Here is a 14,374-nt window from a genome sequence, read left to right on the forward strand (position 1 = left end):
AAAAGGAGTCGGTAAAGGAGTACCTGGAGGAAGGTAATGAGCTCACTTCTGGACATGTTAGGTTTCCACAAGCCTTACTATCTGCCAGTTAGTTGCTAAGAGGCATGACAGTTAAGTCACTTCAGATCTTTTGGGCTCACGGAGATATTTCTTTGCAAAATCATACATATGGATACTTCCTAAAGTTTCTTAGAAATGCATTGATTTTAGAATTTAGGTGTAATTTGAAGAGAAACTGAGAAGGAACCCATGATGGTGATTTTGTTGTTTCAAAAAGTGCCATCCTACCAAAATTAGAAAAAAAAAATACTTTTTTATACTGAGTAAGGAATCCAAAGATAACCAAGCCAAGCCCCAATGAGGCCTATGAGACATGAAAAACACATACTTTTCAGCTAACTAAATATTTGAGTTCTATTTTAAGGACAGTGGTGGCATTGGGTGTGTGTCTTTAGAATGTTTCATTCTAAATAGATGTTCGTCTTCCCTTTATGGATAATACTTCAACTAGATTTTTGTTTCTACACTGTTTGCTTTTATCTTCTAAGGCTAAAATTTGTTGAAGAGACACTCATACAATGGCTACTCATTACTCAATTTAGCCTTAAATCATATGAGTAGTATTTAAGTGTGAATATTAAAAATATAACCTCAGAATGAAAATCTGATAAATAAAATAGCCCAGATGAGTTTAAAAGCATTTTCAAAGACAAGTGGAAAAAAAGTTACTAATTTCCTCCTCTGTAAGGATTGATCATTATTTTGTTTGTTTGTTTCAAAATGGAGTTTCACTCTTATCACTCAGGTTGGAGTGCGATGGTGCCATCTCGGCTCACTGCAACCTCCATCTCCCGAGTTCAAGTGATTCTCCTGTCTCAGCCTCCCTAGTAGCTGCGATTACAGGCACCTACCACCACGCCCAGCTAATTTTTGTATTTTTAGTAGAGACAGGGTTTCACCATGTTGGCCAGGCTGGTCTCAAACTCCTTACCTCAGGTGATCCACCCACCTCAGCCTCACAAAGTGCTGGGATTACAGGTATAAACCAGCCCGCCCTGCCAATGATTACTTTTTAAGATATTCACCCAAATTTTTTGTCACTTATATGATAATGATCCAGCGTTGGCATGATGGTGACTTTTAGGATTTCAAAGCAAAGCCTTGCCAATTCTCTGCAGACAACAACTCTTCTTCGAGGAACAGTTTCTGGCTTGCTACCGTGCTTTAGTGAGACTGAACCCTTAACCATGGGCTACCATGGGACCTGAGCTGCCCATCATGATTTGGTGGGTTAGACATCATTTTGTCTAACCCACCAGACCATAAAGTTGGGTGTGCATAGCGGCACTCATTGTCAAATGAAAGTGGTATATATAAGACTGGCTCAAGCAGGCCCTAAAGACAAGAGTAAATTATATGAGGAAGGAGCCCAGATGCCCACAGTCCCTACTCCTTGCTACGTGACCTTCTCTCTCCCAGCCTGTACCTCTTTCCTCATGGAGAGTTCCTTATGCTCGGTTGATTGAGAAAGACAAAACTTGGGTCTGACTTATAGGAAAATACTTGGGTCTGCTTTGTAGAAAGTACTGCACAATACATAGGATCCACCTAAAAGTGAAGAGCTGCAGCTCTACAAACCCCTTGAGGACATCCCTGAAGGACAGTGGTGAAGAGAAATACCCCTAGTGGACAGAATTACAAGCAGTGCACTTGGTTGTTCATTTTGCTTGAAAGGAGAAATGGCCAGAGATATGAATCTGGCCATCAGGCTATGGCCCATGATTTGGCTGAATGGAATTGGAAGAGACATAATTGGAAAGTTGGTAACAAGAAGATCTAGGGAAGAGATGCAAGGATAGAGGTGTATAGGCAAACAACATGAAGATATTTGTGTCTCATGTGAATGCTCATTAAAGGGTGACCTCAGTAGAGGATTTTAATAATCAAGTGGATCGGAGGACCCATTCTGTGGGTATCAATCAACCTCTTTCTCCAGCCATCCTTGTCATTGTCCAGTGGGCTCATGGTGGCAGAAGCCCAGCAGCATAGACTTCCATTCACCGTGGCCAACCTGGCTACAACCACTGGGGAGTGCCCAACCTGCTGCTGCAGGGACCAACACTGAGTCTTCTCTGTGGCACCACTCCCCAGGGTAATCAGCCAGCTATGTGGTAGAAGGTTGATTACATTGGACCTCTTCCATCATGGAAGGGGCAGCATTTTGTTCTTAGTAAAATAGACACTTATTCAGGATATGAATTTACTTTTGTTGCCTACAGTGCTTCTGCCAAAACTACCATTCATGGACTTATATAATGCTCACCACCATCATGGTAATCCACACAGCACTGCTTCTGACCAGGGAACTCACTTCATAGCCAATGATGTGTGGTGACGGGCCCATGGTGATGGAATTCACTGATCTTAGCATAGTGTGTCCCTCATAAAGCCAATGACTTGACGGAACAGAGGAATGGCATTTTGGAAACAAGTTACAGGACCAACTAGATGGCAATACCTTGCAGGACTGGGGCAGTGTCCTCCAGGAAGCTATATATGGTCTAAAGATGGTGCTGTTTCTCTCATAGCCAGGTTTGCAGACCCAGGAATCAAGGACTGGAAATTTAGTGACACTACTCATCATTACCCCTAGTGATTCACTAGCAAAATTGTTACTACCTTAACCTCTGCTGGTCTAGAGGTCGTAGTTCCAATGGAAGAATGTTTCCAACCCGGAAACAGCAATGATCCCACTGAACTGGAAGTTGAGACTGCCATCCAATCACTTTGGGCTCCTCAAGCCTCTGCATCAAAATGCAAACAAGGGCTGGGCATGGTGGCTGATGCCTGTAGTCCCAGCACTTCGGGAGGCCGAGGCGGGTGGATCACCTGAGGTCAGGAGTTCGAGACCAGCCCAACCAACATGGAGAAACCCAGTCTCTACTAAAAATACAAAATTAGCCAAGAGTGGTGGCACATGCCTGTAATCCTAGCTACTCAGGAGGCTGAGGCAGGAGAATGACTTGAACTCGATAGGTGGATGTTGCGGTGAGCTGAGATTGTGCCATTGCACTCCAGCCTGGGCAACAAGAGCAAAACTCCGTCTCAAAAAAAAAAAAAAAAGGCAAAGAAGGGAGTTACTGTACTGTTGAAGTGATTAATTCTGATTACCATGAGGAAATTGGGTTGCTACTATACAATGGAAGTTAAGGAAAAGTATGTTTGAAATACGGATGTCTTAGGGCATCTCTTAGTACTACTATGTCCTGTCACTATCAGTGGGAGGCCGGGCACAGTGGCTCAAGCCTGTAATCCTAGCACTTTGGGAGGCTGAGGCAGGCAGATTACTTGAAGTCAGGAGTTCGAGACCTGCCTGGCCTACATGGTAAAACCCTGTCTCTTAGCCGGGCATGGTGGTGCGTGCCTGTAGTCCCACCTACTCGGGAGGCTGAGGCATGAGAATTGCTTTTACCCAAAAGGTGGAGGTTGCAGCAAGCTGAGATCGTGCCACTTCCCTCCAGCCTGGGCGACAAAGCAAAAGACTCTGTCTCCAAAAATAAAATAAAATACAATCAAAGGGAAACCACAATAAAATTAAAGCAAAGATTTGGTTCACCTTGCCAGGCTTCGAACAATGACCAGCTGAGATGCTTACTGACAGCCAAGTTAATATGGAATTGATAATGGAAGAAGGTAACTGTAAAACCAGCTCAGCCACATGACCAGTTGTAGAAAAGAGAATTCTAATAGTTATATTTCTTATGTTTGTCTGTATATATATATGTATACATAGATAGATGTATACATAGATAAATGATAGATAGATGATAGATAGATAGCTACATAGATAGATACATAGATACATAGATACCTAGATCATCTGAGGGGGTCTTATTCCATCAACTGAAAGGCCCTAAAGGCTGAACTGAAGTTCATTGAAGAAAGCACACTTGTAAGGCCAGGCGCGGTGGCTCACACCTGTAATCCCAGCACTTTGGGAGGCCGAGGCAGGCAGATCACCTGAGGTCGGGAGTTCAAGACAAGCCTAACCAACAAGGAGAAACCCCATCTCTACTAAAACTACAAAATTAGCCAGATGTGCTGGCGCATGCCTATAATCCCAGCTACTTGGGAGGCTGAGGCAGGAGAATCGCTTGACCCCAGGAAGCAGAGGTTGCAGTGAGCCAAGATGGCGCCATTGCACTCCAACCTGGGCAACAAAAGTAAAACTCCGTCTCAAAAAACAGAAAAAAAGAAAGCACACTTGTGGACTACAACTTCCACATATTCCCAAGTTCCAGCCTGCCTTTCCAGGTTGTCCCTGAACCACCTCGGAATGCACTTGAAGGGTCTCAAAGAAATTCAGGGGCATGAAAGCAGATGGAAGTGACAATTTAGATGACCAAAGAGGGCCAAGCATGGTGGCTTGTAATCCCAGCACTTTCGGAGGCCAAGGCAGGAAGATCACTTCAGCCCAGAAGTCCAACACCAGCCTGGACAACAAAGTGAGACCCATCTCTTATAAATTAGACAGATAGATAGATATAGAGAGATAAACCAAAAGGATCTGTGGACCTGTAGATAGGGGAAAAATTGCTGCAGCTCATGGACTTGGCACATGCTGTTCCTTCTACCAGGGAATTTTCCTTAGATCCTCCTACAACTGTCTTGTCATTTGGATCTCAGTTTAAATGTCCAAGATCACGCTACTGCACTCCAGCCCGGGCGACACACTAAAACTCTGTCTCAAAAAAAAAAAAAGAGAAAGAAAGAAAGAGAAAAATACTGAGGTATATCCCTATGGTTTAAATTAATAGACTTAGGGGGCCAGGCGTGGTGGCTCATGCCTGTAATCCCAACACTTTGGGAAGCCAAGGCAGGAAGATCACTGGAGCCCAGGAGTTCACGACCAGCCTGGGCAACATGATGAAACCCTGTGTCCACAAAAAAAAAAAAAAAAAAAAAAAAAAAAAATTCCCAAAAATTTGTTTTTAATTATTTTTAAAAATTTTAACAGGCTCATAGAACCATGATTACCCACAAAGTATTCCTCATACTGGAAAAACTTAAAATGCAAGATTGCTCTTTCAGCCATTTCTTTTTATTTACAGTTTGTGTTCAATGCAAATCAATTCCATAAGAAGTTACTATGAATCAAAGCGTAAATACACAAACACAATATACAATCCAAAATAGATGTACAGCATTCTGGAATAAAGCAAGAGTGTTCATTCACACACACAGTAGCTTCAAAACTGTTCGATCTGTTTGTTCCCATGTAGTTTTCTAAAGATGGAAAAAAAGGACTTTGGTCATCAAGACTACTGTGGCCATATTAGATTACTGGAACATCTAAGCATCAGTGTGTGACCATGCGAACAAAAGACTTCGGGGAGTGTCTATTTTTAAAAAGGTTTATGTGTGTCGAGGCAGTTGTAAAAGATTTACTGCAGAATCAAGCCCACTTTTAGGCTTAGGACCAGGTTCTAACTATCTAAAAATATTGACTGATAACAAAAAGTGTTCTAAATGTGGCTATTCTGATCCATAGTTGTTTTTTAAAGAAAAAAAATGTATATACAGAAAGAGTATAAAAGTTTGTGAATTTAATGCAAATTAGCTTCCAGTCTTCACTTCCCAAATACTTGATTTATAGTTTTGACTCCTTTACATTTTTGCCTTCTTAATTTCAAGATTTGCAATTTTGCCTTCAAAACAGATCATTTTTTTAAATTGTAAAAAGTATTCAACATATGCAGAAATAAAAAGCATTTTGATGGCTGGGCGCGGGGGCTCAAGCCTGTAATCCCAGCACTTTGGGAGGCCGAGGCGGGTGGATCACCTGAGGTCAGGAGTTCGAAACCAGCCTGGGCAACATGGTGAAACCCTGTCTCTACTAAAATTACAAAAATTAGCCGGGCATGGTGGCAGGTGCCTGTAATCCCAGCTACTTGGGAGGCTGAGGCAGGAGAATCGCTTGAGCCCGGGAGGCAAATGGTACACTGATCTGAGATCGCACCACTGCACTCCGGCCTGGGCGACAAAGTGAGACTGTCTAAAAAATAATAATAATAAAAAGCATTTTGAAATTAGTCGTGGTCAATGCAATTCTACTCTTTGGAATCCGTTTAGCTAAATGAATGTAGTGCTCTTGTTGAATGGAAACAGGTGATAGGAAATGCCTACCATTTGACTCAATATGGATAATCAAGAGTTGCTCAGGATGCTTGGATCTGGGGGTAGATTCTCATTCATCATTGCCCTGGCACATGTCAATTACTACATAAAAGGTCAAATGCAATGTCAAATCCAAAGCCTCAGGAGGAAAGTGAGTTCAGTTCCCAAGAGAACAGCAATAGCTCAACAATGTAAAACTTCATCTAGAGTATATCGGCATTAAATTAGTGCTGTCGAAACAATACGTTGAGGAATTACAGTAACACCTGGAAGTTCCTTCTCATGTACATATAAATAGAATCATGGAAGCTTTTTATATTACCTGTTTTATGGCCTTATAGAATTAATGAACCAAATGAAAACTGAATCTCCATTCCACAATCCCATCCTTTATTTCTATTCTTATTTTCAAGGTAGTATTAAGTGTCCATATTTCTCAAGCCACATTCAAGGAAATCATGTCTTAACTATTTTGGATGTTGCCTCTCCTTCATCTTGTACATGAAACTCCAGCAGATTTAATATTGGCATCCATCATCTAGTCAAACCTCTCACATGTTCTTCAAATCAATCAAATTTGGGATTCTCAACATTTTCTGTGTCAATAAAAGGTGTGGAATTAGTAGATTCGATGAAGACCTGTTTTTCCTTGCCACATTGGACTTCCAGACGCCATTTGGATTGGGTTTAGAAGATGGGGAAATTTAGAAGACGTTTCTTGGCCTGAGTCTCTTAAGAGTAGAGATGCAGAAGAGAGAGTGAGACCACGAAGAGACTGGCTGTTGACTGCAGGGCACCACCAGCCGCCTTGGTGGTGGCATTAGTTGGATTTGGGGCCAACCCAGAGTTGGAAGTACTCTGGGAGGAGTTACTTGAAGTTCCAGTTGTTGTTTCACTGGAATAAATCTAAAATACATAAAAAGTTACATGGATACATTTCCACATCACAGCTACCTCCATGTACTCTCATATAAAATTAAAGTAGGTGATATATTCTTAGATTGCTCTCTTACCATTGTTCTCTTACCCAACATCATTAACTTCTGAATTCTTGCTCAACCCACCAAGGTCATTCTCTTTAGTTTCAAAACAAACTACCTAGAGATGCCTCAAAAATGCCAAGTGGCAACAAGAACAAAAAAGTTATTCAATAACTATAACTCCTGTTTTTATTTCTTTGCAAAGGAAAAAAGGACCAGGTTAACTAATTCAGTTTCCAAGATTATATTGACTTAATGGCATTGCAATAAGGTCTATTTTCCCAGAAAGGGGGAGATTTTAAAGTTGCACAAAAAAATGGGGATTTTTAAATATTGTAACTGAGACTTATGGAACTAGAATTCATTGGGTCACTGTCTATCCTGGATTTGCTAGGTAACTTTCACATACTCAATTTAATACAGCCTTGGTAACTTAGCCTTTTCCTTAAGGGGGAAATGCAGTCTTATCTTCTCCCTTGAAATTTGAAATAGTAACTCTTCTAAAAAATGGCCACAATATTTGTGTTAAATTGAAAAAGAAAATGAGTTTTTCCTTTAAGGCAGAATGACTTCAAGAAAACACCATGAAGTCGGAACGATTTCACAAAAGACAACGAGAGGTTATGGTGTTAAGTTTCACCAGCAGCAGCCTCACTGGTCGCCAAGCTCATTGCTGTGGCCAAGAACCAAGGTTCTCCCAGTGTCCCAGCGTCTGAGTGGCATCATTCACCACTGATTTTTCAAGCCACGAAATGCACAGTCCAGTAGGGCACGTGATAATCTCTCCTTTGTCATGGAACAAAGGCAGATCGGAGTTTTCAGCCCTCACTGCAAGGGAGGGTTTACAAGAGCTTCTGATTACAGGCTGGAGGGAGGACGTGGCACCAGGCAAGAGTCTGGGCCCCGTGTACATTTGGCTGCCTATTAATCCAAAGATAAAGCCCTCCTACATCAGCACCAGCTCCTTTTGTTGTAAAATCCATAAGGTCATTAAACAAATATTGACTACAGAAATGTACAAATCCTATCCAAAATAGATTAGTGACAACAACAAAAAAATCTTGATCAAGTCAAATTTATTTATCGGGCACCTACTGTGTGCAAGATTTAGTGTGTCCCATCAGGAAACGGCACTCCCAATAAAGAAAAGCATTAATATGGTAATTTACTTAAAACAGGGTGCCTGTTTTGGACACCTTGTTTGGGATCCCGCAAAGTAACCTGTTCTTTATTCATGCAATGAGTTTTACTGCAGCAGGTGATGTTTTCTTTTTAAAACCTGGTGTATCAATCTGAGGATCTAAAGATCCTCTACACCAACAAAAAAATTATGTTTATTAAACTGACACTAAACAAAATTTTCTCTCCCAAGCTAGATTTATTCGCATTATTAAAACTTCTCACTTACAATGTTGGAGGAAAAAAATCTGGTCGGAGAGAAGATGGGGCGGGGAGTGGAGGGGGCCGGTTTCTCGCAGCCGCGCCCCTCCCCCATCAAAGAATTGAGGAAGGCTCGGGAGCGCAGCGGACTGGGAGGAAGACAATAGGGTACGGTTACCCCGCCAGCGGTGGGGAAGCGCGTTCCACACTCAGGCTGCACTCCCAGGTGAGCCCGGACTTTCGATGTCTGGGGACGGAGGACGCAGCGCGCCCAACTTTGGGGGAGAAGCCCCAGTGACAGTCCTCGATTAACCCCAATCGAAGGCGCTGGAGAGCCGTCACTCCCATCCTCCAAACCCGAACTGACCCAAACAAACGTACCTTCTTCGCCCCCGCCCCCGCTAGGGTCTCCCAGGCCCAGCCCCCGGTCTCTCTCGCCGGCGCGGTGCATCCATACACCCTCGAGGCAGCGCTGCGCGGCCCCGGGTACCCGCACCCGGGGCGAGGTTCCCCGGATGGAGGATCTAGGGAGACCGCGCTGGTAGCGGCGACCCGAACAAAGCCTGGCGGGGACTCGGGACAGAATCGTCCCACCATGCTGCCTCCCCAGAACTAGCCAATCTGGGCTAAAATAACATGGGGATCCTAAGATGACAAGCGATGGACGTGAAAGGTTGCCTCGCAGAGAGCGCAGCGTCAGGAGAGGGTCCCCGCCTCGGCTTCAGCCCGGAACCGGGGTTTGTTTAAAAAGGGCCAGATAGCCGTAGCTTCTCCGGGATACCCAATCCAACTCCGAGGGTGGAGGATGGGCGTGAGCCGCCCTCCCCGAAAGGGACCGTCGCCTCTCTTTGTGTAGAGCGCGGGGAGCGCGAAGACATTCCTAGGGGAAAGCGAGTCCTCAGGGACCCAGGGACAACGTCCCCAGGGAGCCCGAGCTCTCCAGGCGCTAATCCCTGCAGGCACCTCGGGCCTCTGGGTGAAAGTGGGAAGTAGTCACCTGGCTGCCTGGGAAGGGACAGCGTGGAACCTGGGGTGGGGCAGGGTCCTCTCAGCCCGCACGCGGAGCTGCATTGTTCCCAGGGCCGTGGGAGGAGGGGGGGCAGCACGCAAGGGAATGGAAAAATGGGGTCCACATGGCCCTCTCCCCTGGTCAGCTAAGCAAGATTCTCTCCCGGTCCCTGTCCGTGGCCCGAGGCAGGAGCGCAGGACGGTCCCCCGGGACCGGGTCCATCTCCCCTGCCCCCACCCCGGGAACGGCCCTCGAGCCCCGCCGGGCGCCAGGGCCTCACCTGCGTGGGTAGGAGCAGTGCCAGCAGCAGCAGCCCCAGCCCGAGCCTGGCCACCATTGCTCTGCCCATGTCCCCTCCGTCGGTGCGCGGCGCGTCTAGCAGGATGCTGGGTGCTTGGAGAACCGCTGGCTCCGGGCGGGCGCAGGCAAGGTGGGGAGCGCGGCGAGCCGGCGAGACCTTATATACCAGGAAAGCCACAATAGCCGTGACGTGGCGCCGCCCGCCCACCCCGGCTCCCCTCCGCCGCCGCCCGCCGCCTCCCCGCCTTCCCCGCCCCGCTCCGGGTTCCCCAGCGCCCCCGCCGCCGCCGCCACTGCCACCGCCGCTCCGGCCCTCGCGGGCCGGGAGCCCCCCGGGCGGGCGCCGCTGCAGGTGGGCGGGCGCCGCCGGCTGCTGGTACCCGGCTGGTATCCCCGCGCCGGCTGCGGGCTGCGGGCAGGCTGGCACAGGCGCCCAGCGCCTCCGGCACAGGACCCGGGGCACACACGCGAGCCACACACGCCGCGCTGGGGGCCGGGCCCAAGTTTCCTTTGTTTCCCGGGACCTGCCATCTTACCCCCCAAAAGAAAAGTCCGCGCCTCCGCTGCGGCGGGGTAGCCGCCTGTCCTGGAGCAAGTGCATTGCCACTCAGACTGCAAAATGCGCCCCGGGGACCCGAGAGGGGCTGCGAATTCCAGTGCGACCGCGTGGGGGGCGGGCGCCGGGACCCCTCGGGCAGGGTTATCTCTCGGCCCGCCGCAGAGGAAAGGGGAACGCGGCGGGCGTGGCGCGGACGCGGGCCGGACGCTCACCCTGGCCGACGGGACCCGGGCGCCGCCTAGCGCGAACCCTTCCCGGCTGGTCGGCGCTCCTCGCAGGCGGTGTCCGGGTCCGGAGCGATCTGCGCGCTCGGCCCCGCGGCCGCGCCCTCCCCGAAGCCCTTGCTTTGTTCTGTGAGCGCCTCGTGTCAGCCAGGCGCAGTGAGCTCACGGGGGCGTCCCGGGTCCGCATCTTCCCAGGAGCTGGGGAGCCGCTCGCTGGGCGCAGACCCGCTGCCTGACGCTGCAAACTACAGGGTTTCGGTCCCCCGCGCTCCTGCCTGCGGCGGGCGAGGAGGAGACGGCCCACCCTGAGGGGACCCCCTCCGCGGCCCTGAAGCCCCCACCGCCCTCCCCGAGCGGCTCTGCTCCCAGGTTCTACTCGGGGGCAGGAACCTCCCCTCCTGGCGGTCCCACTACAATTCACCGTCCCTCTCGAATTCCTGGGGATACACTTTTTCGGTCTCTGTTGCCCGTCATTCGTTTAAAGAGCAGAACCGTTCGAGATAAAGGCATTTACTTATCCGTAGTTGCCATTAGGCAATTTAATGAACCGGCACAAAGAGGAGATTCGTCATCACTCTTTAGATTTTGGTGGAATACTTTTTTCCTATCCATCTTATTGTGAAAACTTTCAAGCATACAACAAAAGTTGAAGTAATTTTACTGGTGGAGTATTTTGAGTTTAAATTTTAATTGCAAGACTTAATCTTTTTATTGAAGGTTTAGCCCAAGTGTTTTTCAGTCTTTAAAGCAAACAGCAGAGACCAAACCTAGTATGGTTGTAAATTTGTTTAAATTTCAGTTTTGCAGAACACTCTCGTTAGTATTTTTGGTTCAATTTTTAATTGCAAGACTTAATACTTTTATTTAAGGTTTAGCCCAAGCATTTTTCGGTCTTTAAAGTAAACCACAGAGTAGTAAGATTCTAAATTTGTCTAAATTTCACTTTTGCGTGGCAGTCTCATTAAAACAAAGTAAGTTTCAGGGAAGCAAAGTGACAATGAAATCTGCAGTAGGTTTGTTGACTGAATAGTGACTGAATTGGTTTGTGCCTTCAAGGTCAGTCACTTTAGCTCAGTAACTTTCCAAGCACGTTTAAGATGTGCTTGGGAACACAAGAATTTCTGTCGAGCACCAGTGGACTTTCCTGTTTAACAGTGTACCACATTATATAGAAATACTTTGGCCGGGCGTGGTGGCTCACACCTATAATCCCAGCACTTTAGGAGGCTGAGGAGGGCTGATCACCTGAGGTCAGGAGTTCCAGACCAACCTGACCAACATGGTGAAACCTAAAATCTAGTCTCTACTAAAATTTAGTCTCTACTAAAAATCCAAAATTAGCCATGCATGGTTGCTCATACCTGTAATCCCAGCTACTTGGGAGGCTGAGGCAGGAGAATAGCTTGAACCTGAGAGGTGGAGGTTGCAGTGAGCAGAGATCAGGCCATTGCATTCCAGCCTGGGCAACAAGAGCAAAACTCTGTCTCAAAAAAAAAAGAAAAAAGAAATAGTCTGGCCCAGCTTCTCCATTCCTTTTCCGGGTGAAAAAAATGGACTGTTTGTGACTCAGGAGTGCCGGGTTCCAAGGCAAGGAACATACTATGTCCTCCACAAGCTGCTTGTTGAACTAACTGGTGGTATTCCTAGGATAAGACAGCCTCTAAAGACAGACTGCCAGAGTTCAAACCGTGGCTCTGCTAATTTTGCTGGAGACAAAAAGCCTCAGTTCCTTCATCTATAAAATGGAGATAATAACATCATTACTAATTAGTTATTAAAGAGTTATTGTATATATAAGTGTTAGAATACTGCCTGCCTCAGAGTAGTAGCTCTCACTTAATATTTGCTCTTCCACTGAAGGTGCCAGCAACCAGAAGGTAATTACCTTCTCTGCCACTGTGTGATACGTGAAAGAATATCAGTCTCCAAATAATTCCCAAAACTGGCAAGGCACTCAGAATCTGTGCTTTGTGAACCATTTCATCACCAGCTAATGAGACTGGATAATTCACGTAGCAAAGCCCTTCACCTCTGCCCAGGAGTTCCCCCTGGGCATCCTACCGGGGGTGTTGCCCAGGACTTTGACAACTGGAGGCCCAACACAGGTAAGATACTTCTCTTTACAGGTCTCCACCCTACCCTTTTCCTGTACAGCTAGAAACTCAAGAAAACTGCCTGATTTTTCCTTTGCAGTTCTTTTGGCTTGTGATTCTTTCTTCCTATTCTTTATCCACTTCTCCTGGTTTTTCATAGTTTGTTTGCTAATAAAACCTGAGCCACGGCTGGGTGCAGTGGCTCACGCCTATAATCCCAGCACTTTGGGAGGCCGAGGCAGGCAGATCACATGGTCAGGAGATCGAGACCATCCTGGCTAACATGATGAAACCCCGTCTCTACTAAAAATACAAAAAATTACCTGGGCATGGTGGCACACGCCTGTAGTCCCAGCTACTCGGGAGGCTGAGGCAGGAGAATCGCTTGAACCCAGAAGGCGGAGGTTGCAGTGACCCAAGATCGTGCCACTGCACTCCAGCCTGGATGACAGAGCAAGACTCTGTCTCAAAAAAAAAAAAAAAAACCTTAGCCAATAATAACTCACGCCACTAACAAATTGAGACTCTTACCAGTTATCCTGAACTTTTTGTTGAGACACATGGCCAATTTCCATTTTATAGAGAAAGTGTGGTATAGAATGATTTTGAAACAGATTGATTGCATAAATTGATGTATGTGTGGAAAGTTATAACTTTCAGTTTTCATAGCTTTCATGAGATAGTATGAAAAACTCCCTCATTTGATGCTGGTTCTCTTCTGAGAATACTGAGGGAGGAGCAATGCTTACAATTTCTTTTCTTTTTTTTTTTTTTTTGGAGACGAAGTCTTGCTCTTGTTTCCCAGGCTGGAGTGCAATGGCACGATCTCGGCTCACTGCAACCTCTGCCTCCCAGGTTCAAGCGATTCTCCTGCCTCAGCCTCCCAAGTAGCTGGGATTACAGGTGCCTGCCACCATGCCTGGCTAATTTTTATATTTTTTTAGTAGAGACAGGGTTTCACCATGTTGACCAGGCTGGTCTCGAACTCCTGGCCTCAGGTGATCCGCCCGCCTCAGTCTCCCAAAGTGCTGGGATTGCATGCATGAGCCACCGTGCCCGGAAAATGCCTACAATTTCTAAGGGCAGACCTGAGACCAGACTGGCATAGCACATAGTGGATTCTGGGGTCAAATATGGATTTGAATCCTGCACCACCACTTTCTCTTTTTTTTTTTTTTTTTTTGTAGACAGGGCCTCACTCCGTCACTCAGGACGGAGTGCAGTGGCTCATTGCAACCTTCACTTCCCTGGTTCAAGCCATTCTCCTGTCTTAGCCTCCCGAGAGACTATGTCTTGCCTACCCAATATCCACTGCACCTGGCATGCAATCAGTCCTTGCTGGTTGAATGGACTAATATTAAGGAAACAGGTTAATTTGCTTTTTAAGATAAAATAGTAAATCCTGTTTCTAGAGGAACAGAAGACACAGGGGTTAATTATTTGACATTTTTAGCACTTTTGGCAAAATAGGTATGAAATATAATGTGAATCCAATAAAGGTGTTCCATCTGTGCTTTATAGCACAAATAGTGGCTGGAATAATCAAATATTTAATATAAATTCTGTTCTACAACATGATGCAATTCTTAGTTGTGTTCATAATACTCTTTTTTTTTGAGATGGAGTCTCACTCTGTCGCCCAGGCTGTAGTG

General features: G+C 46.5%; 1 protein-coding gene across 7 annotated transcripts, besides 2 other annotated features; it reads right to left on the reverse strand.

Moving 5' to 3' along the window:
- CD24 (CD24 molecule) lies at nt 5,080–12,104 on the reverse strand. Of its 7 annotated transcripts, none has more exons than NM_001291738.1 (3): nt 11,991–12,104; nt 9,827–10,003; nt 5,080–7,083 (listed from the first exon to the last, which is right to left on the reverse strand). In NM_001291738.1, the coding sequence occupies exons 2-3, from the start codon at nt 9,893–9,895 to the stop codon at nt 6,910–6,912; spliced, it is 243 nt and encodes an 80-aa protein (NP_001278667.1). In that variant the 5' UTR covers nt 9,896–10,003; nt 11,991–12,104; the 3' UTR covers nt 5,080–6,909. The 7 variants fall into 7 exon arrangements, 5 of the variants coding, with proteins under 5 accessions (NP_001278667.1, NP_001278666.1, NP_037362.1 ...); NM_001291737.1 differs by lacking the exon at nt 11,991–12,104 and adding an exon at nt 10,618–10,876; NM_013230.3 differs by lacking the exon at nt 11,991–12,104 and adding an exon at nt 10,383–10,714.
- Nucleotides 10,330–10,479: a silencer, noted in NCBI's record as "silent region_17434". NCBI's record gives its function as "represses an Ori minimal core promoter by ATAC-STARR-seq in GM12878 lymphoblastoid cells {active_cell/tissue: GM12878}" and the evidence as "EXISTENCE:reporter gene assay evidence [ECO:0000049][PMID:35858748]".
- Nucleotides 10,520–10,739: a silencer, noted in NCBI's record as "silent region_17435". NCBI's record gives its function as "represses an Ori minimal core promoter by ATAC-STARR-seq in GM12878 lymphoblastoid cells {active_cell/tissue: GM12878}" and the evidence as "EXISTENCE:reporter gene assay evidence [ECO:0000049][PMID:35858748]".

This window comes from Homo sapiens, chromosome 6, assembly GCF_000001405.40.
Source record: "Homo sapiens chromosome 6, GRCh38.p14 Primary Assembly".
In the NCBI taxonomy this organism is placed as follows: Eukaryota; Metazoa; Chordata; class Mammalia; order Primates; family Hominidae; genus Homo; species Homo sapiens.